This window comes from Homo sapiens, chromosome 21 (assembly GCF_000001405.40).
Source record: "Homo sapiens chromosome 21, GRCh38.p14 Primary Assembly".
Lineage (NCBI taxonomy): Eukaryota > Metazoa > Chordata > Mammalia > Primates > Hominidae > Homo > Homo sapiens.
In genome coordinates, this window is record NC_000021.9 from 8,804,065 (window position 1) to 8,827,337 (window position 23,273).

At 47.3% G+C, this 23,273-nt stretch overlaps 1 long non-coding RNA gene and 1 pseudogene across 1 annotated transcript in view, besides 1 other annotated feature; both read left to right on the forward strand.

Moving 5' to 3' along the window:
• The window catches only part of LINC01666 (long intergenic non-protein coding RNA 1666), a 46,880-nt gene extending 44,986 nt beyond the window's left edge, over positions 1–1,894 (forward strand). The window contains exon 3 of the long non-coding RNA NR_187559.1: positions 1,767–1,894. This is a non-coding gene — a long non-coding RNA (long intergenic non-protein coding RNA 1666). The remainder of the gene's footprint in view (positions 1–1,766) is intronic.
• Positions 1,895–15,206: 13,312 nt separating this feature from the next.
• Positions 15,207–16,673, forward strand: LOC107985475 (translation initiation factor IF-2-like; annotated as a pseudogene).
• Positions 19,158–19,358: a silencer, noted in NCBI's record as "peak4330 fragment used in MPRA reporter construct". NCBI's record gives its function as "represses an SCP1 promoter by STARR-seq MPRAs in K562 erythroleukemia cells {active_cell/tissue: K562}" and the evidence as "EXISTENCE:reporter gene assay evidence [ECO:0000049][PMID:32103011]".

Genomic DNA, 23,273 nt, shown 5'->3' on the forward strand with positions numbered 1-23,273 from the left:
ATCAGATGCTTTTAGATGTGTGGTGTCATTTCTGAGGCCTCTGTTCTGTTCCATTGGTCTATAGATCTGATTTGGTACCAGCCCCATGCTGTTTTGGTTACTGTAGTCTTGTAGAATAATTTGAAGTCAGGTACTGTGATGCCTCTAGCTTTGTTGTTTTGCTTAGGATTGTCTTGGCTATGTGGGCTCTTTTATGGTTCCATATGAAATTTAAAGTAGTTTTTCTAATTCTATGAAGAAAGTCAATGGTAGCTTAATGAGGATAGCAATAAATCTATAAATTACTGTGGGTGGTATAGCACTCAGGCACATAAATGTCCTTGTGTTAGGCAATACCATTCAGGACAGAGCCATAGGCAGAGACTTCATCACCAGAACACAAAAAGCAATGGCAACAAAAGCCAAAATTGACAAATGGGATCTAACTAAACTAAACAGTATCTGCAGTGCAAAAGAAACTATTATCAGAGTGAACAGGCAACCCAGAGAATGGGAGAAAATTGTTGCAATCTATCCATCTGACAAAGGGCTAATATGCAGAATCTACAAAGAACAAACTTACAAGAAAAAAAAAACAAACAACCCCATCAAAAAGTGGACAAAGGATATGAACAGACACTTACCAAAGAAGACATTTATACAGCCAACGAACATGTGAAGCAAAGCACATCATCACTGGTCATTAGAGAAATGGAAATCAAAACCACAATGAGATACAATCTCACAGCACTTAGAATGGCTATCGTTAAAAAATCAGGGAACAACAGATGCTGGACAGGATGTGGAGAAATAGGAACGCTTTTACACAGTTGGTGGGAATATAAATTAGTTCAACCATTGTGGAAGACAGTGTGACAATTCCTCAAGGATCTACAACTAGAAATATCATTTGACCCAGCAATCCCATTACTGGGTAAATACCCCCAAAATTATAAATCATTCTAATATAAAGACACATGCACCTGTCTGTTTATGGCGGCACTTTTCACAAAACCAAAGACTTGGAACCAACCCAAATGCCCACCAATGATAGACTGGATAAAGAAAATGTGGCATATATACACCATGGAATACTATGTAGCCATAAAAAGGATGAATCCACGTCCTTCGCTGGGACATGAATGAAGCTGGAAAGCATCATTCTCAGCAAACTAACACAAGAACAGAAAACCAAACACCACATGTTCTCACTCATAACTTGGAGTTGAACAATGGGAACACATGGACACAGCAAGGGGAACATCACACACCAGGGCCTGTCAGCGTGGGGGGCTAGGAGAGGGATGGCATTAGGAGAAATAACTAATGTAGATCATGGGTTGATGGATGCAGCAAGCCGCCATGGCATGTGTATACCTATGTAACAAACCTGCATGTTCTGCACATGTACCCCAGAACTTAAAGTATAATTTAAAAAAAAAGAAATTTGCTTTAAATTAAGCTTTTAATCATGGAACCTGTAAAGAAACCCCTTTTGAATCTTTTACTACCACATCATAGCTGGGACAAACTGCTGACGTTTTAAAAGTAACACAAATATCAAACAGAAAGAACTAGACTTAGGAACCAAACTCAGGTTTCTGTAGTGAACAGGGCAGAATCTTCACATTGGGTCACCACCACTACTCCTTCAGTTTGGCCTTGGCTAGCAAAAGGATGACATTTTTATGTAGATGAGACCAGTTACGTAAAAAAAAAGGTTTAAAAAATAATTTCTGCTAACTGGAATGCTTTTTGTTGTTGTTTATTTGTTTGTTTTTTTGCAGCCATAGGAGTTTTAGCCAATTCAGAGGCCTTGCTCCCCACAATTTGGAACATTCCTTTGGATTTGACCAAGTCAGGAAGAGATGGGAGAAAAGTGAAACAACAACAATAAAACCCCAAGCATAAACAAACAAAAAGAGTTAAGCAAAACAACAACTGCACAATTCATATGATTACTGAGTGTTCTAATGGTAAGGAGAGTGGTGAAGCCATGCGTGGTGATGTAGAATACTTCCACATCTCTGGTGAGGAGCTGCCCCTTGGGTCTGAGTTTCTGGGAGGGGAGAGGGAGAAGCTGGGTGAGGCAGGCATGAATCTTGAGGAGTCAGGGCTGGGGGACCGCTCATATTCTCCCGAGACCTGTGAGTCTCTGGGGGACTCCTGGGTGCATGGGGCTGACTCCCACAGGAACCTGGGGATGGCTGGAGAGTAACTGGGAGCCACAGGAGAGTCCCTGAGGCCTGGGGGTGAAGAGATGAAAGACACAGGGGTGGAGCACCGTGAGGCTCATGAGTTTGTAGGTGATTCCTGGGTGTGGGGGGCTGACTCCAGCTGAAATCTGGGGTTGTTTGGAGAGTAGCTGGGAGACAAAGGAGACCCCCCAAGAGCTGGGGGTGAGCTGCTGGCTGATGGCAGTAAGAGCATGTGGTATATTATTGATGAACGTGGGGACTCTGAGGAATCCTCAGAGGAGGACACGGGAGAGCCCAATGTCTTCATTGATTGCCCATCACGGTGAGGACAGGGAAATGGGAGCTTGTGGGATTCTGGTGATGACAGAGGTGAGTGTGGTGAAGCCCTAGGGGATGGTGAATGGTAGCTCCGGATCCCTGGTGAGGAGCTTCCCCTTAAGCAAGAGATTCTGAGAGGGGAGAGGAAGAAGCTGGGTGAGGCTCGCATGGACCTTGGGGAGTCCGGGCTGGGGGACCGTTCATAAGAAGAGCCAGACAAGACCCTACTGTTCTTAGGTGCAGACATGATTAGGAAACCTGCAGCTCCCAGGGGCCCGTACCAATTTTCTAACTCGAAGAAGGAAGGAGTGTGTGTGTGCGCGCGTGTGTGTGTGTGTGTGTGTTTGTGTGTGCGGTGTGTGTTTGTGTGTGTGCGGTGTGAGGTATGTGCCCCTTAAGAAAATGGAAATCAACCAACCAATGAGACAGACAGACAGACAGAGATTCACTTGCCCACGTGTTCTGTCCTGTCCTCTGAATCCGCTTCCAAGTCGCAAGACGCTGTGAGCTCCAAGTCCACGCAGAGTCCGCCAAACGCTCCGGCCGCTGATCCGCTCCGCGAAGATCTGAGTACAGGCCAGCCAGGGTGGGTTTAAATAGCCTCGGGCGCAGCCTAGCAGCGGAAAGGGCGGAGCTTCACTCCTCCTTTCCATCAGTCACCCCCAACTTTCCCAGGCTACACCTGGTAGGAAACTGTTCTCCTGCTTTGATTTCATGCGCCACCTTTGGGACAATCTAAGAACTTACAAGTTTTCTTGGCCAGATATATTAGGAATTGTATGCACTGAAACACTGAAAACCAACTAGTGGTTCTGTGGTTCCCACGTTGTGGTTTTGACACCAGCAGCATCCTTGCCACAATCAAACCCCGGAGATGCACAGATCTGTGTTGTAACAAGACCTCCCCCTGACTCTGATGCATGGCAGTTTAAGAAGTCTTTCCGTGTAAACGAAAAGACTTTGAAGAAAAGGTGGAGATATGCGTTGTATAAACATTCTTTTGCTCTGGAACCACGTAGAGACTTGGGAGCCAGTTGGGTGGAGCATTCGTTGGATGAGGGTGCTCGGGTTAGGAATATCAAGGTGTGGCTCCAGATAATCCAATCATGTAATTAAGATTCCAGTTATGCTCATCTGTTTTAAAATTCCGTTTGGGTAAATTCTTTGAGTCAGACTGAGAATGGCAAAGCCTCAACCCCAATTTCCAGGGAGGGTTGAGAGCCTCGGGTGGAGCTGATCACCAATAGCCTATGGTTTAACCCATCATGACTATAGAAGGAGATCTCCATAAAAACCCAAAAGGACTGGGTTCAGAGGGCTTCTGGATAACACTTCCTGGAAGGTAGTGCGCCCCTCCCCACATGCCGGGCCCCACATTTATTTCTGAACTTTTTGCAATGTCCGCTAAAATACAACGGCAAATGTAAGTGTTTACCTGCGTGCTGTGAGCTCTTCCAGCAAATGAATGCAACTAAATCTGGGAGTGGTGGCAACCTGATTTATAGCCAGTTGCTGAGAAGCACAGGTAAAACAACGTGGGGCTTCCCATTGTTATTAGTGTGGGAGGCCTGTCTGGCGGGACTCGGCCCTTTGGAATCTAATGGTATGTCCCTGTAGATAGCGTCACCATTGAATTAGAAGACACACATATGTTGAGAATAATCTCTCTGGTCATTTGCTGCATGTCTTATTTACAATACATAATCAAATTTTTTATTCTGACCTTATGGCACCTGGGTTGAGAACCCATGATTTGAACCAAACATTGGTCTGTCACTTTCTGAGTTTGAAACTTTATTTTGCCTTTAGCGTTTTGTTACTGCTTTTTCGTTTTCTTTTATTTCGTTTCGTTTCTAAGTTCGGGGTATATGTGCAGGATGTGCAGATTTGTTACTAAGGTAAACGTGCGCCATGGTGGTTTGCTGCACCTGTCAACCCATCACCTAGGTATTAAGCCCAGCATGCAGTAGCTGTTTTTCTTAACGCTCTGCCTCCCGAAAGGCCCCAGTGTGTGTTGTTCCCCTTCCTGTGTCCATGTGATCTCATTTTTCAGCTCCCATTATAAGTGAGAATGTGGTGTTTGGTTTTCTTTCCCTGGATTAGTTTGCTGAGGATAATGACCTCACATCACCAGTGTTTTTGTTTTTCAGTATAAAGAGTAGTATTTTATTGAATAAGATTTGCTCACAGGAAAATAAGCTTAAATCTACAATGAATGCCAGACTCTACAGCAGAAAGCAATTTCCTCACTTTTCCACACACAATGGTTCCTACTAAGCGAAAATAAGCCATAAAATTTCATTCACAAATGTACTACTCTGTCTCAAAACATCTCACATAATCATGCACTGTACTAAAGCCTTTAGATCAGTTCTTCCGTCAGGTTAAAGAAGTATTGATTGATGGGCAATCAATGAAGATATTGGGCTCTCCCGTGTCCTCCTCTGAGGATTCCTCAGATCCCCCACGTTCATCAATAATATACCACATGCTCTTACTGCCATCACCCAGCAGCTCACCCCCAGCTCTCGGGGGGTCTCCTGTGTCTCCCAGCTACTCTCCAAACAACCCCAGATTTCAGCTGGAGTCAGTCCCCCACACCCAGGAATCACTTACAAACTCACGAGCCTCACGGTGCTCCACCCCTGTGTCTTTCATCTCTTCACCCCCAGGCCTCAGGGACTCTCTTGTGGCTCCCAGTTACTCTCCAGCCATCCCCAGGTTCCTGCGGGAGTCAGTCCCATGCACCCAGGAGTCCCCCAGAGACTCACAGGTCTCGGGAGAATATGAGCGGTCCCCCAGCCCTGACTCCTCAAGATTCATGCCTGCCTCACCCAGCTTCTCCCTCTCCCCTCCCAGAAACTCAGACCCAAGGGGCAGCTCCTCACCAGAGATGTGGAAGTACTCTACATCACCCCGCAGGGCTTCACCACTCTCACATCCATCATCAACAGAATTCCACAGCTTTACGTTTCCCTTTCCTAACCAAGCAGGACAGTCACTCATGTCATTGTGTTCTCCCGTGTCCTCCTCTGGAGATTCTTCACAGTCACCTCATTCATCAATAATATACCATATGTTCTTACTGCCATCATCCAGCAGCTCACCCCCAGCCACCCATGAGTCTCCTGTCTGTCCCAGCTATTCTCCAACTACGCCCAGATTTCAGCAGGAGTCTCTACCCCACACCCCAGAAACACCTACAAACTCACAGACCTCAGTGAGATCCTCGCCAGTCTCTCTCACGTCTTCACCCCCAGCCCTTACGGACCCTCCAGTCTGTCCCAGCTACTCTCCAACCACGCCCACATTTCAGCGCGGGTCAGTTCCAGGAACCCAGGGATCACCACCAAGCCCACCACTTTCACTGAATTACTCCCCAGTCTCTAGTACGTCTTTATCTCCAACCCTCAGGGAGTCGCCTGTCTGTCCCAGCTACTCTCCAAACACGCCCACACTTCAGCGGGAGTCCGTTGCAGGCACCCAGAAATCACCACCAAACTCACCAATTTCACTGCGTTACTCCCCAGTCTCTCTCATGTCTTCACCATCCCTCAGGGACCCTCCCGTCTGTCCCAGCTACTCTCCAACCACGCCCACATTTCAGCTGGAGTCAGTTCCAGGCACCCCGGAATCACCACCAAACTCACCAATTTCACTCAGTTACTCCTCAGTCTCTAGCACGTCTTTATCTCCAACCCTCAGGGACTCTCCTGTGTGTCCCAGCTACTCTCCAACCACGCCCACACTTCAGCGGGAGTCCGTTCCAGGCACCCAGGAATCACCACCAAACTCACCAATTTCACTCAATTACTCTCCAGTCTCTCTCATGTCTTCACCAGCCCTCAGGGACTCTCCTGGGGGTCCCAGCTACTCTCCAACCACGCCCACATTTCAGCTGCAGTCAGTTCCAGGCACCCCGGAGTCACCACCAAACTCACCAGTTTCACTGAGTTACTCCGCGGTCTCTCTCATGTCTTCACCCCCAGCCCTCAGGGACTCTCCTGTGTGTCCCAGCTACTCTCCTACCATGCCCAGATTTCAGCGGGAGTCAGTTCCAGGCACCCAGGTATCACCTACAAACTCAGCAGTTTCACTGAGTTACTCCCCAGTCTCTCTCATGTCTTCACCCCCAGCCCCCTGGGACTCTCCTGTCTGTCCCAGCTCCTCTCCCACCACGCCCAGATTTCAGCGGGAGTCAGCCTCCCACACTCCGGAATCACCTACAGACTCACAGACTTCACTGAGGTCCTCCCTGGTCTCTCTCAGGTCTTTGCCCTCAGCCCACAGGGACTCTTGTGTCTCTTTCAGCTACTGTCAAAACTTCTCTAGATTCCAGCTGGAGTCAGTTCCAGGCACCCACGATACACCACCGAACTCACGAATTTCACTGACTTACTCCCCAGTCTCCCTCATGTTCTCACCCCCAGCCCTCAGGGACTCTTCTGTCTCTCTCAGCTACTCTCCAACCATCTCCAGATTTCACCTGGAGTCAGCTTCCCGCACCCAGGAATCACCTACAAACTCACGGACCTTACTGCAACCCTCCCCCATTTCTTTCACCTCTTCACCCCCTGCCTTCAGGGACTCTCCTGGGTCTCCCAGCTTCTCTCCAGCCTTCCCCGGATTTCTGCCACAGTCAGCCCCAGGCACCCAGGACAACCCTAGACACTCACAGGCCTCACGAGACTATCTCCCTATGACCTGTACCTATACAGGGATGGCTCCCACGCATCCCTCAGTGACCCCAAACCCATCTCCACTTACACTCAGACACTCCCAGGGCCTGACAGCTACTCCCCGTTATTGTCCTTCAGTTCGAAGCCCTGGCCAATCTACTAGCCCACATGACGCAGTTACATGGCCATTTCTCCACATTTCCGGTGAGGGCCCCACAACCAGCCGCACAAGAGCCCCTCCTGCATTCCGTCCTCACACGCAGGCCTGTCCATCTACTTGCTACTGTCACACTTTTGCCAGCAGAAGAGGCCCCTGTAATGGCCGATATCACCACCCAGTCTATCCTCACCCCACAGCTGTGCAGCAGGACCCTCCTGCTGGCCCACGTGGCTGCCAGAGCCCATGCTGGCACGACGCTCCAGCAGGTCGGCGTCCCTGCGGGACACACTACCGGTGACATGGCTAGCATGACCCTCCTTCCTGGCAGTGACACTGTTGATGTGAACCCCGGTTTCACATCTGTCATTTGTAAATAGGACCATTTTCCCTTTTCGCTCTCCCTTCCATTCACAGGGCTTTTCATTCTCTCTGTTTCTGCCTCCGTTTCAGATATTTACTCACCTTTTTCTCTCTCACTATGTCTGCCGTGGTCTCCATTAGAGTGCGCCACATAAGATTCCCCCATTAAAAGTCATGAATTGAGTGGCTTTTAGTATACCTGTGGTTGTGCACATTCAATTTTAATTCGCAATCCATTGTAGAACGTCTTATCACCCCCGACCAGAGAAAAACCCTGTAGACATTAGTCACTCCTCATTCTGTCTCAAACCATCAGGGCCTGATGGGAAGGCACTTTCGTCTGTGGGGGACCCATGCCCTGCTTCTCCGTGGCGCGGTTTTTTTTTTTTCCTGCCATAGATCCCTCACCTCTCCTTCCTCAAATCTCACCTTCCCCTCTTGGGTCTTCTGTCTGCCTTGGGGTACACCTAGCGGCCCGAGGTGCACTGTGGGCTCGAACCAGGGACTCCAGTGTCCCTGAGGCCCAGCGCAAGGCCTGATGGAAAGACACTTTCGTCCGTGTGGAAGACCCAGTCCCCGCTTCTCCGTGGCAGGTTTTTTTTTTCTCTGCCCCATGTGCCTCACCTTCCCCTCTTGTGCCTTCTGCACGCTTTGGGGTACACCTAGCGACCCGGGGCACACCCTGGTCTCGAACCATGGAAGCCAGATTCCACTGGGCCAAGCTCAGTGGCTGATGGGAAGACACGTTCTTCCTCGGGGACCCAGGCTCTGCTTCTCTGTGGCGTTTTTTTTTTTTTTTTCCCCAGTTGCCTCACTTTCCCGTCATGGGCTTTCTGCCCGCCTTGAGGTACCCCTAGCCGACCCGAGGCACACCGTTGTTTTGAGGCAGGGATGCTAGGGTCTCCGGGGCCCAGTGCAGGGCTTATGGGTAGGGACGTTCGTCCATGTGGGACCCAGTCCCCACTTCTGGGCGGCACAGTTTTTTATTTTATTCTCTGCCCCAGGTGTCTCACCTTTCTCTCATGGGCCTTCTGTCTGTCTTGGGGTACCCCTAGCAGGCCGAGGCGCACGCTGGGCTCGAGCCAGGGATACCAGGGTCCCCGGGGCACAGTGCAAGCGCTGATGGGAAGACAGTTTCTTCTGTGGGGGACCCAGGCCCCGCTTATCCGAGGCACAGTTGTTGTTGTTTTTTTCTCTGCCCCACGTGCGTCACCTTCCCCTCATGGGCCTTCTGCTTGCTTTTGGGTACCCCTAGCGGCCTGAAGCACACCCTGGTCTCGAACCAGGAATGCCAGGGTCCCCTGGGCCCAGCGCAAGTGCTGATGGGAAGACACTTTCGTCCGTTGGGGACCCAGGCTCCGCTTCTTCGTGGTGCAGTTTTTTTTTTCTGCCACAGGTGCCTCACCTCTCCTTCCTCAAACCTCAACTGCCCCTCCTGGGATTTCTGCCCGCCTTGTGTTACCCCTAGCAGGCCCGAGGCGCACCCGGGGCTCGAACCGGGGTCTCCAGCGTCCACAGGGCCCAGCGCAGGGACTGATGGGAAGGCATTTTCACTCTTGGGGGACCCAGGCCCAGCTTCTCCTAGGCGCGGCTTGTTTTCTTTTTTTTTTCTGCCACAGGTTCCTCACCTCTCCTCCCTCAAACGTCAACTTCCCATCATGGGCTTTCTGTTCGACTTGGGGTACCCCTAGCGGCCCAAGGCGCTCCCTGGACTCGAACCATGGATGCCAGGGTCACCGGGGCCTAGCGCAGGCGCTGATGGGAAGGTACCTTCATCCGTGGGTACCCAGGCCCCACTTCTCAAAGCTGCGGTTTTTTTTCTCCGCCCCAGGTGCCTCACCTTCCCCTCATTGGCCTTCTGCCTGCTTTGGGGTACCACGAGCAGGCCCGAGGCGCTGCCGGATCTCCAATCAGGGTCGCCAGGTTCTCGGGGCTAGCGCAGGGGCTGATGGGAAGGCACTTTCATCAGTGGGGACCCAGGCCCGGCTTCTCCGAGGTGCTGATATATACATATATATATATATATGTATATATATATATATACATATATATATATGTATATATATATATATATATATATATATATATATTTTTTTTTTTTTTTTCTACCACAAGTGACTCACCTCTCCTCCCTTAAATCTCGCCTTCCCCTCGTGGGCTTTCTGGCTTCCTTAGGGTACCCTAGCATGCCAGAGTCTCTTCTGGTCCTTGAACTAGGGTCGCCAGAGTCCAGGGGGCCAGCGCAGGGGCTGATGAGAAGGCACTTTCGTCCGTGGGAGAACCAGGCCCCGCTTCTCTTCCGCACGTTTTTTTTTTTTTCTGCCGCAGGTGCCTCACCTCTCTTCCCTCAAACCTCACCTTTACCTCATGGGCCTTCTGCCCGCTTTGGGGTACACCTAGCGGGCCCGAGGTGCACCCAGGCCTAGAACCAGGGTCGCCTGGGTCCACGGGGCCCAGCTCAGGGACTGATGGGAAGGCACTTTTTTCCCATGGGAGACCCAGGCCCCACTTCTCCGTGGCGCGGTTTCTTTTTCTTTTCTGCCACAAGTGTCTCACCTCTCCTCCCTCACAGCTCACCTTCCTCTCATGGGCTTTCCACCGCGTTGGGGTACCCCTAGTGGCCCGAGGCTCTCCCTGAGCTCGAACCAGGGACTCTAGGTTCCCCGGGGCCCAGTGCAGGGGCTGATGGGAAGGCACTTTCATCCGTGGGGTACCCAAGCCCCACCTCTCCGCGGCGCGGGTTTCTTTTTTTTCTTTTTCTGTGACAGGTGCCTCACCTCTCCTCCCTCAAAACTCACCTTCCCCTCACGGGCTTTGTGTCCCCAAAGCCCCCCTTGGGGTGCACTTAGCGGCCGAGGCACACCCTGAGCTCGAACGAGGGACACTAGGGTCCCTGGGTCCCAGTGCAGGGACTGATGGGAAGACACTTTCGTCTGTGGGGCACCCAGGCCGTGCTTCTCCGCGGCGAAGTTTTTCTTTTTTTCTCTGCCCCAGGTGCCTCACCTTCCCCTTAGGGGCTTTCTGCCCACCTTGGGGTACCCCTACTGTCCCAAGGCGTACCCCAGGGTCAAACCAGGGACGCCAGGGTCCCCAGGGCCCAGCGAAGGGGCTGATGGGATGGCACTTTCATCCGTGGGGGACGCAGGCACTGCTTCTCGGCTGAGCGTTTTTTTTCTCTGCCTCAGGTGCCTCACCTTCCCCTCATGGACCTTTTGTTCGCTTTGTGGTACCCCAAGCTGTCCCGAGGCGCACCCTGGGCTCGAACCAGGGTCGCCAGGGTCCACCAGGCCCAGCATAGGGCCTGATGGGAAGGCACTTTCATCCGTGGGGGACCCAGGCCCCGCTTCTCTGAGACGCGGTCCTCTTTTTTTTTTTTTTTTCTCTGCCCCTGGTGCCTCACCTCTCCTCCCACAAACTTCAACTTCCACTCATGGGCCTTCTGTCCAAGTTGGGGTACCCCTAGTCGCCTGAGGCACACCCTGGGCGTGAACCAGGGATGCCCGGGTCCCTGGGGCCCAGCGCAAGGGCTGATGGGAAAAAACTTTCGTCCCCGGATGACCCAGACACCGCTTCGCGGCGCATTTTTTTTTCTTCTTTGCCCCAGGTGTCTCACCTTCCCCTCATGGGCCTTCTGCCTCTCTGCGTCTGCGCCGGCGCTGTGGGCCTCTCTGCGCCTGCGCCGGCGCTGTGGGCCTCTCTGCGCCTGCCCCGGCGCTGTGGGCCTCTCTGCGCCTTTCGCCAGCGCTGTGGGCCTCTCTGCTCCTGCGCCGGCGCTGTGCGCCTTTGCGAGGGCGGAGCTGCGTTCTTCCCAGCACAGACAAGGAGAGCATCGCCAGGGCGGAGCTGAGTTCTCCTCTGCACAGACTTCAGAGATACAGCGAAGGCGGAGCAGTGTTCTCCTCAGCACAGACCCAGGCGGGCCGGGGGCACCGCGAGGGCGGAGCTGCGTTCTGCTCAGCACAGACCCGGGGGACACCGCTAAGGCAGAGCAGCGTTCTCCTCAGCACAGACCTTTGGGGCACTGCCTCGCTTTGGGACAACTCGGGACCGCATAGACGGTGAATAAAATCCTTCCCTTTTGCAGCCCTGAATAATCAGGGTCAGAGACCAGTTAGAAGGGCTCAGTGTGGAAAAGGGAAACCAAAAGCCCCTCTGAATCCTGCCAACCGAGGTTCTCCCCAGCCAAGCCAAGGCAGCCGCAGTGCGAGATCCACACCGCAGCCTCGGAAGACAAATGCAGCATTCCTAATGCAGACATGACACCCAAAATATGACACCCCCATTGCTCATGTAACAAGCACCTGTAATGCTAATGCACTGCCTCAATACAAAAATATTAATATAAGATCCGCAATCCCCTTGCTGCTATGCAGTCCTAAGACAGAGATCATAATAATCAACATTGACATAGTACAAACGTAGTAAAGAACCTAGGGTTAAGGTTGGTGTTAGGGTTAGGGGTTAGGGGTTAAGTTTAGGGTTAGGGGTTGGAGATAGGGGTTGGGGTCAGAGTTAGGAGTTAAGAGACAACGTTTAGAGTTAGAGGTTAAGAGAGGTTAGGGGTTAGGGATAAGGGGTTAGGGTTGGATTAGTGTGAGGGTGAGGGTTGTGGTTAGGGGTTAGGCTTAGGGGTTACGGTTAAGGGTTAGGGTTAGGGGTTAGGGTTAGGGTCAGGGGTTAGTGGTCAGGTTCAGGGGTTAGGGATCAGGGTCAGGGGTTAGGGATCAGGGTCAGGTTCAGGGGTCCCACTCTTTGAGTTGTCCATTTACTCTGCTGACTGTTCCCTTTGCCATGCAAAAGCTGTTTAGTTTAATTAAGTCCCAGCTATTTATCTTTGTTTTTATTGCATTTGCATTTGGGTTCTTGGTCTTGAAATCCTTGCGTATGTCAATGTCTAGAAGGGTTTATCCAGTGTTATCTTCTAGAATTTTTATAGCTCAGGAATTAGATTTAAGTTCTTAATCCATCTTGAGTAGATTTTTGTATAAGATGAGAGATGAGAATCCAGTTTTATTCCCCTACATGTGGCTCGCCAATTATCCCAACATCATGTGTTGAAAAGGGGGTCCTTTCCCCACTTTATGTTTTTGTTTACTTTGTCGAAGATCAGTTGGCTGTAAGTATTTGGGTTAATTTCTGGGTTCTCTCTTCTGTTCCATTGGTCTATGTTCCTATTTTTAAACCAGTACGTTGGTGTTTTGGTAACAATAAGGTAAGCCTTATTGTACAGTTTGAAATCAAGTAGTGTGATACCTCCAGGTTCTTTTTGCTTAGGCTTGGTTTGGTTACATGGCTCTTTTTTGGTTCCATATTAATTTTAGAATTGTTTTTGTAATTCTGTGAAGAATGATGGTGGCATTCAGATGGGGATTGCATTGAATTTGTAGATTGCCTTTAACAGAATGGTAATTTTCACAATATTGGTTCTACCCATCCATGAGCATGGGGATGCGTTTCCATTTGTTTGTGTCATCTATGACTTCTTTTCTTTCTTGTTTTTTTTTTTTTTTCAGAGGGAGTTTCGCTCTTGTCGCTGAGGTGGGAGTGCAATGGTGTGATCTCGGCTCACTACAACTTCTGCCTCCCGGGTTCAAGCGATTCTCCTGCCTCAGCTTCCCGAGTAGCTCGGATTATAGGCGTGTGCCACCGTGCTTGGCTCCATCTATGATTTCTTTCAGTAGTGTTTTGTAATTTTCATTGTAGCTGTCCTTTGATTCCTTTGCTAGGTATATTCCTAAGTTTTGTTTTTTTGTTGTTGTTGTTTGTCGCAGCTATTGTAAAAGGGGTTGAGTTCTTGATGTGATTCTCTGCTTGGTAGCTGTTGATGTATGGAAGAGCTACGGATTTGTGTCCCTTAATCTTGTATCTGGAAACTTTGCTGAATTCTTTTATCAGTTCTAGGAAGTTTCTAGAGGAGTCCGTAGGGTTTTCTAGGCAAAAGATTATATCATCAGCAACAAGTGACAGTTTGACATCCTCTTTACCGATTTGGATTTCCTCTATTTCCTTCTTTTGTCTGATTGCTCTGGCTAGGACTTCCAGTACTATGTTGAAGAGGAGCGGTGAGAGTAGTCTCCTTGTCTTGTTCCAGTTCTCAAAGTGAATGCTTTCACCGTTTCCCCATTCAGTATTATGTTGGTTGTGGGTTTGTCATAGATGGCTTTTATTACATTAAGGTATGTCCCTTGTATGCCTATTTTGCTGAGAGCTTTAATCATAAAGCAATGCTAGATTTTGTCAAATGTTTTTTCTGTACCTGTTGATATAATCATATTAGATTTTTTTAACTCTGTTTATTTAGTGTATCACACTTATTGACTTGCATATGTGAAACTACTCCTATATCATTGGTATAAAACCCACTTGATCATGGTGGATTATTTTTTGATATGTTGTCGGATTCAGTTAGATAGTATTTTGTTAAGGATTTTGGCATCTGAGTTCATCAAGGATATTGGTCTGTAGTTTTCTTTTTTGGTTATGTCCTTCCATGGTTTTGGTATTAGGGTGATGCTGGCTTCATAGAATGAATAAGGAGGGTTTCTTCTTTCTCTGTCTTGTGGAATAGTATGAAAAGATGGGTATCATTTCTTCCTTGAATGAAAGAAGACATTCTTTGAATGTCTGGTAGAATTCTGCTGTGAATCTGTCTGGCCCTCAGCTTTTTTTGCTGGTAATTTTAAAATTACCATTTCAATCTTGCTGCTTGCTTTATTGGTCTGCTTGGGGTATCTAATTCTTCCTGATTTAAGCTAGGGGAGTTGTATTTTTCCAGGAATTTATCCAACTCTTCTAGGTTTTGTAGTTTATGTGCCAAAAGGTGTTCATAGTACCCTTGAATAATCTTTAATATTTCAGTGGTGTCAGTTGTAATATCCCCTGTTTCATTTCTTAGTGAGGTTATTTGGATTTTCTCTCTTCTTTTCTTGGTTAATCTTGCTAATGGTCTACCAATTTTATTTATCTTTTCAAATAACCAACTTTTTGTTTTATTTATGTTTTGTATTTGTTGTTGTTGTTGTTGTTGTGTCAATTTCATTTAGTTCTGCTCTGATTTTTGTTATTTCCTGTGTTTGCTGGGATTGGGTTTGGCTTGTTCCTGCTTCTCTAGTTCCCTGAGATGTGAACTTAGATTGTCTGTTTGTGCTCTTTCAGACTTTTTGATGTAGGTTTTTAGGACTACAAACTTTGCTCTTAGCAGTGCCTTTGCTGTACCCCAGAGGTCTTGATAGGTTGTGTCATCCAGTTCGAAGACATTTTTTACATTTCCATCTTGATTTCATTTTTCACCCAATGCTCATTCTGTGAGGAACAACCAAATTGTTTTCCGCAGCAAGGGCATCATTTTCTATTCCTAGCAGCCAGATCATGAGGGCTCCAACTTCTCCACCTCCTTAGCAACATTTATTTTCTCTGTCATTGTTATGAAAGCCTTACTTGTGGATGCAGAGTGGCATGAATGAAGTCAATTAACACGTTTATTACCTCACAGAATAGTCACCTTTTGGGTGCATGGGTGGGATAAGAAAACTTAACTCCATCCCCTGTGACGGAATAGTGGCCATTCCAGCTGCTCCAGGCTCCAGCAGAGGAAGACCGGGGTATGTGGCCCCACCAGGGTGACCCTCAGGCCTGGCGCGCACGCATTCCAGAGGCCACCCAAACCATGCTCTGCCATCTGGGCGCCCAAGCTGCCGTCGCCCCCTGTGTGCAGGCAGCATCTGCCTGGCAACCCCCGAGCCCGCTCGCGCTCCTAGCATCACAGAAGCAGGGCCACGTGTCCCAGTGGCTGCAGCCAAGCCAGGCATTCTGCCCTGCGGCAGCAGCTGCACAAGAGCGAGAACTGAGAACCCACCGCTCAACCCCACACGAGGTGACTGCCGAGTGCCCATATAAACGGCTCCGATCTCCCTCAGGTGGAGGAGTGGTCGGGAGGCATGGCCTGGGGGCCCTCAGGCTTGGCGCGCTGGCGATCCCAAGGCCGACCAGGCCATGCACCTCCAGCCTGCCTGGGCACCCGAGCTGCAGCCGCCTTCTGCGTGCAGGCAGCAGCCTCCAGGCAACTCCCGAGCCCGCCCACACTCCCCACATCTTGGAAGCAGGGCCAAATGTCCCTGTGGCTGTGGCCAAGCCAGGCGGTCTGTACTGCAGCAGCTGCACAGGGGCGGGAACCGACCCTCAGCCCCATCCCCGGTGGCTGCAGAGGGCCCCTGGATAGAGATCTGGAGCTCTGACAGAGGAGGAGCCGGGCCAGGGCAGGGTCTGGCAGGCTCTCAGGCCAGGGGCACCCGCGATCCAGAGGCCGCCCAGGGCATGCTTCACCACCTGGGAGCCCAGCTACAGGCGCCGGGCGACTCCCAAGCTGGCTGGCGCGCCCAGCCTCGCAGAACCGGAGCTAGATGTCGCCATGGCTGCGACCAAGCCAGGCGGTCTGCCCAGGGGCGGCTGCACCGGGGCAGGAACCGACCCTCAGCCCCATCCCCGGTGGCTGCAGACGGCCCCTGGGGCGGCCCCGATCTCTCTTCGGAGGAGGAGAGGGGCGGGAGTCACGGCCAGGCGGACCCTCAGGCGGGAAGGAGTGCGCGCCTGTGATTCCGGGACGTCCCGCGCCAGCCCAGGAGAACCCGCAAGCCAGCGGCGCCTGTTTCTCTGTGTGATTCTTTGAGGAACCACCAAACTGTTTTCCACAGCAAGTGCATCATTTTCTATTCCTAGCAGCCAGTTCATGAGGGCTCCAGTTTCTCCACCTCCTTAGCAACATTGATTTTCTGTGTCGTTGTTATGAAAGCCTTACTAGTGGATGCAAAGTGGCATCTCATTTGGGTTTTGCCTTGCATTTTATTAATGAATAATGGTGTTTAGCATCTTTTCTTTTCCTTCTTAGACATTTGTGTATCTTCTTTGGAGAAATGTCTGTTCAAGTCCTTTGCCTATTTTTTAATTGGGATCTTAGAAATTCTGTTGTTGAGTTGTGGAATATTAAGCTTTTATCAGATACACATTTTGATTTTATCAGATACATATTTTCTCACATATTATGGGTTGTCTTTTCACTTCCTTGATAGTATCCTTTGATACATAAAGGGTTTTTTATTTTGATTAAATCTAATTTTCGTGTATTTTCTTTTGTTATCTGTGCTTTTCTGTCATATTTCAAAATACACTTAAAACTCAAAGGTCATAAAGGTTTACCGTGTGTTTTCTTCTAAGAGTTACATATTTTTAGTCCTTACATTTAAGTATTTTATTAATTTAGAATTAATTTTTGTATATACTGCAAAGTAGGGGTCTAACTTCTCTCTTGTGCACTGACATCCAGTTGTTGAAGAGACTGTTCTTTCCTCCCTTGACTAGACTTGGCCACCTTGTTGAACAGTCATTGACCATATATGTGAGGACTAACTTGTAGGATCTCAAATCTGTTCTATTGTATTGGTCTGAAAGTCTATTGGTCTTATTCCAGTACCACACTCTCTTGATTACTGTAGATTTGTAGTAGGCTGTGAAACTGAAAAATGTGAGTTTTCCAATGTTCTTTTTCAAGACTGTTTTGTCTGTCAGATCCTTTGAATTTTTGTATGATTTTAGAATGAGTTTCTTTGTTTCTGCAAAAATGCCTTTGGGATTTTGATGGTATTGCATTGAATCTGTAGATTACTTTAGATGGTATTGTCATCTTAACAATATTGTCTTACAACCCGTGAACACAGAATGTCTTTCCACTTATTTCCACTCTCTTTAGTTTTTTGCAGCAATGTTTTATGTATACCACCATGGTTAGATTTATGCCTGAATAACGTATTATTTGATGTCATTATAAATGGAATTTTTAAAATGTTTTCATAGTTCTTTACAACTATATAGAAATATAGCTCATTTGCCTATGTTTGTTTGCATCCTGCCTCTTTTATTAGTTATAATCGGTTTTGTGTTTTGTTTGGAGCTTTATACCCATAAGATCATGTGTAGATATAATTTTACACCTATTTTTTATTTCTAATTTAGATGCCTTTTATTTCTTTGTCTTGCCTAATTGCTCTGGCTAGAACTGCCAGTGCTACGTTGAATACAAGTGGCAAATGCACCATCCTTTTCTTCTAGATGTTAGGAAAACAGCTTTCAGTGTTTCATCATTGATCATGATATTAACTGTTGGGTTTTTGTACATCCCATTGTCATGTTGCAGAAGATCCCTTCTATGCCTAGTTTATTGAGTATTTTTATTATAGAAGGGTGTTGTATTTCATCAATGTTTTCTCTGCAGCAATTGAAATAATCACGTGCTTATTCATTTTACTGTTACAGCATATTACACTGATTGATTTTTTATATGTTGAACCACCCTTGCATTTTGGGGATAAATCTCAAAGGGTGATAGTTTACAATCCTTTGATTATACAGTATTGCTGCTGCTAGTATTTTGCTAGTATTGCTAGTATTTTGCTGAGATTTTTGCTTATATATTCATAAGGGATATAGTGCTGTATTTCTCTCTTTTGTGCTCTCTTTGTCTTTGGTATAAGGATAATGCTGTTATCAAAAAATGAATTAGCAAGTATTCCTTCTTCATATATTTTGTCAGAAGAGTTTGAGAAGAAATGGTATTAATTCTTCTTTAAATGTTAGGTTGACTCACCAGTTAATGCAGCTATTTGGTCATAAATGTTTCTTTGTTAATCGCTTTCGATTACTAATTCAATCTCCTAGGTTATAGGTCTATTCAGATTTTCTCTTTCTTCTTGAGCCACTTTGGTAGTTTGTGTCTTTCTAGCGATTCATCCATTTCATCCAGGGCACCTAATTTGTTGCTAGACAGTTGTTCACAGTATACTCCTGTAATCCTTTTGTATTTCTGTAAAGTTGGTAGTAATGGCTCTGCTTTCATTTATCATTTTAATAATTAGTCTTCCATCTTTTGCTCAGTCAATATAGTGAAAGGCTTGATCTTTCAAAGAATCTACATTTTTTCATTCTACTGCTCTCCAACCTTCTGTTTTATTGATTTATGCTCTAATTATGCTCTTTATTATTTCTTTCCTTCTGCTAGCTTTGGATTTAGTCTTCCACCTGGATTTATTTTGAGAGTGATATTGATGTAACTTCATGGAAATAATACTAGATAGAAAGTTAGCAGATAGATTCTCTATCTGATGAGAGTTTGGTGCAAGTCGAGTACCAGGTTACCAAGTTTTATTTTTTTCTCTGACCCAAAAAACAATTTGGCAGCCGGTGAGAAACTCTCACAGCTCTGGATGTGAGTTTAGGACACTGCATTTCTAGCATTCAATTTCTTAATACTTTTTTGCACAGGGATCATGGCACAATTTGCAGTTTCCACCCTGCCCATGGAAGATGAGGAGTCCATGGAAGATGAGGAGTCTGTTGAAGATGATTCCGTGGAGAGCAGGATGGTGGTGACATTTCTCATATCAGCTCTCGAGTCCACGGTGAGACCTTCTGTTCTAACATGATATAATTTGGTAGAACTGGGTGGTAGATAAGGTTGATTTTTTTTTTGTAGAACTTATAATTTTATGATTTGTAGTTCTAATGAGTAGATCTTTTTCTGGAATAGTAGTTATGTTCAAACACTTCTAACCAAATGTGCCATGTTGTCCAGTCTGGTCTCAAAATATGGGGCTCAAGAGACCTGCCCACCTTGGCCTCCCAAAATACTGGGATTACAGGTGTAAGCCCCTGAATCTGGCCAGATATTTTTCTTTTTATGGCTGAATAATACTCTGTGTATGTATATATTACATTTTCTTTATCTATTCACCTACTGATGGGCATTAGGTTTGGGCTACCTTCTGGCCACTGTGAATAATGCTGCTGTTAATCGGGTGTACAAATACCTGTTTGAGTCCCTGCTCTCAGTTCTTTTGGGTATATACGCTTAAAGGGTGTTGATGGATCATATAATTCTATGCTTCATATTTTTAAGGAGCTGCTAAACCATTTTCCACAGTGGGCTGTACCATTTTACATTCCAAAAAGCAATGCATACAGCTTCCAATTTCTCTATAGCATTGCTGACAGTTAATATTTTCTGTTTATGTATTGTATTTTTATAGTGTTTGAAATTAATCTGAGGCTTTTCACTGATACCAAAATATTAGGAAATGTTTTCCAAAAATAATACTGCTTATTATAGAGGATTTTACGTGTTACTTGATGCCCTGTGATCTGTTTTCTAAGTAAGAAGAGGAACTTCTTGGCTGGGCACAGCGGCTCATGCCTGTAATCCTAGCACTTTTGGAGACCGAGGTGAGTAGATCACCTAATGTCAGGAGTTCAAGACCAGCCTGGCCAACATAGTGAAACCCAGTCTCCACTAAAAAAAAAAAAATTAGCTGGGTGTGGTGGGGGGTGCCTCTAATCCCAGGTATTCGGAAGGCTGAGGCAGAGAATTGATTAAACCCATAAGGCAGAGGTTACAGTGACCGAGATTGCACCACTGCACCCCAGCCTGTGTGACAGAGTGAGAGTCCATCTCAAAAAAAAAAGGAAAGAAAGAAGAAGAACTTCTCTCCATCCAGCCTCATTCCACTACACCAACTCTTCTGTGTCTGGTTGTGCAGGGGAGAAAGGGAGCTTGGCAACTCTTTGCTGTGTTGAGTTGTGGTAGCCCATCACTGGGTTGTAAAGTGCCTTGCCTCCTTTCCTCCCCTCCTTTTTTTTGAGACAGAGTCTCACTCTGTCGTCCAGGCTGAGGTGCAGTGGTGCGATCTCTGCTCACTGCAACCTTAGCCTCCTGGGTTCAAGTGATTCTCCTGCCTCAGCCTCCCAAGAAGCTGGGACTACAGGCACATGCCACCACACCTGGCTAACTTTTTTTATTTTTAGTAGAGACAGGGTATCACCATGTTGGCCAGGCTGGTCTTGAACTCTTGACTTCAGGTGATCCACCCACCTTGGCCTCCCAAAGTGTTGGGGTTAAAGGCATGAGACACTGCGCCCATCCACCTCCTCTTTTACCTGGGAGAAATGCACAGATTCTGGGTGCCATGTGCATTTGTTTTGGGAGTGATAATTGATCTAACTTATGGAAATAATACTAGATAGTTAGCGGATGGATTCTGTATCTGATGAGAGTTTTGGGCAAAATGAATTCCTAGTTTCTGAGTCTTATTTTTCCCCTGATTCAAGATAACTGTGAATTATCCAGCCAGTAAAAAACTCTCACAGCTCTGGATGTGAGTTTAGGACACTGGATTTCTACCACTCATTTTCTTACTACTTTTCTTGTGCAAGGATCATGGCACAAGTTGCAGTTTCCATCCTGCCCATTGAAGATGAGGAGTCTGTTGAAGATGAGGAGTCCTTGGAGAGCAGGATGGTGGTGACATTCCTGTCAGCTCTCGACTCCATGGTCAGACCTTCTGTTCTCACATTCTGTAGTTCGGTAGGACTGGGCGGTAGATAAGGTTGATTTGTTTTTGTAGAACTTACAATTTTGTGATTTTTAGTTCTAATGAGTAGAACTTTTTCATGAATAGTAGTTACGGTCAAACACCTCTGACCAAATGTGCATGTGGAGTTTCTACACTGATTTTCAGACAATCTGGATCCCAACTGGGTATCCCACAATTCCATCCTGACACTCCCTGGAGTTAGTGCAGACCCTGCAGGATGGGAGCTCAGTCCCAGGAGTCTACCCTCACTCCACATACCAATTGCAAGTCTTGGGTTGTTACATGTAGTTTTGACCAACCAGTTAGAAAACAGGGTTTCATGACCCCCATTGGTGGGTGGAATCATTTGCTCGGACAGCTTGCAGAACTCAGAAAAACAGATTGTTTTCTTTTTTTTCTGAGATACAGGGTCTCAGTCTGTTGCCAGGCTGGAATGCAGTGGTGTGATCAAAGCTCACTGTAGCATGGGACTCCTGGGCTCAAGTGATCCTTCCACCTCAGCCTCCCAAATAGCTGAGATTATAGGCCTGTACCAGCATATCTGGCTATGTTCTTTTACTTTTTGTAGAGATGGGGTCTTGTTATGTTGCCCAGGCTGGTCTCAAATTTCTGGGCTCACGTGATCCTCCCACCTTAACTTCACAAAATGCTGGGATTATGGGCATGAACCACTGCATCTCACCAATTTACTTTCTTTTACTGGTTCATTTTAAAGGCTAAATCTCAGAAACAGCCAGTGAAAGAGATGTACATGCTGGGCACAGTGGCTCATGCCTGTAATTTCAGCACTTTGGGAGACTGAGGCGGGAGCATCACTTAAGTGCTCAGGAGATTAAGACCAGCCTGGGTAACAAGGTGAAAATGCATCTCTACAAAAAGATTTTTCTAAAAATTAGCCAGGCACAGTTATCTATAGTTCTAGCTACTCAGTGCCTATAATTCTAGCTACTCAGGAGGCTGAGGTGAGAGGATGAGAGGATGGGGCTTGAGATAGGGAGGCATAGTTCGCAGTGAGCCATGATTGTGCCATGACACTCTAGGCTGGGAGACAGAGCCAGACTCTGTCTCAAAAAAAAAATAAAAAACACACAGGGCAAGGTATGTCGAGAGGGGTACAGAACTTCCATGTCCTCTATTGTGCATATTACATTCCTGGTATCTCCCTTGTGTTCAGCAACCCAGACATTCTCCAACTCCAGCTGTTGAGGGCGCTTATGAACGCTTCATTATGCAGGCATGATTGGTGAAGTCATTGACCATTGGTGATTAAGTCAGTCTTCGGCCACTATTTCTTCCTGGAGCCCAGGGGGTGAGACTGACAGTTCCAAGCCTCTAATCACATGGTTTGTTCTTCTGACAACAACCACCCCTTTTTCTGAAGCTGTCTACAAGCTTTCAGTCACCCAGTCATCTCAGTAACATCACCAAATGCATTCTTACTATGGTGATCCCAAAGGTCTTAGAGGCTCTTGTGTTAGAAACCTGGGACTAAGACCAAATATTGAAACAGAAGATGCCCCATCACTTTCATCACCAAGGCCTTTATAAGAGCTTGAGAAGCTCTTTGCCAGGATGAGGGGCAGAAACCAAATGTGTATTTCTTTTCTTTTTCTTTTGAACACAGAGTCTCTGTTTCACCCAATCTGGAGTGCAGTGATGGTGTTGTAGCTAACTGCAGCCTCAACCACCTGTGCTCAAGCAATTCTCCCACCTCAGCCTTCCAAGCATCTGGGACTACAGGTGCACACCATCTATGCCCAGCTAATTGTTGTATTTTTTTGTAGAGATAGGATCTTGTTATATTGCCGAGGCTGGTCTTGAACTCTGGGGCTAAAGCGATCCTTTCACCACAACCTCTCAAGTAGCTGAAACTACAGATGCATACTACCATGCCCAGCTAATTTTTTCTTATTTCTTTTTGTTGTTTAATTGAGGGGGTCTCGCTGTGTTTCCCAGGCTGGTCCTGAAGTTTTGGCCTCAAGCGTTTCTCCTGCTTTGAACTCCTAAACTGTTGGGATTATGGTTGTGAGCCACGGCCTCTGTGTCCAGCAATCACAAGAGGTCTTTATAAGTGAAAGAGGGAGGTAAGAGAGTCCGAATTGAAGGAGATTTGATGATGGAAGCACAGGTCACAGAGGGAGATTTGAATATGCTTTGCTTCAGG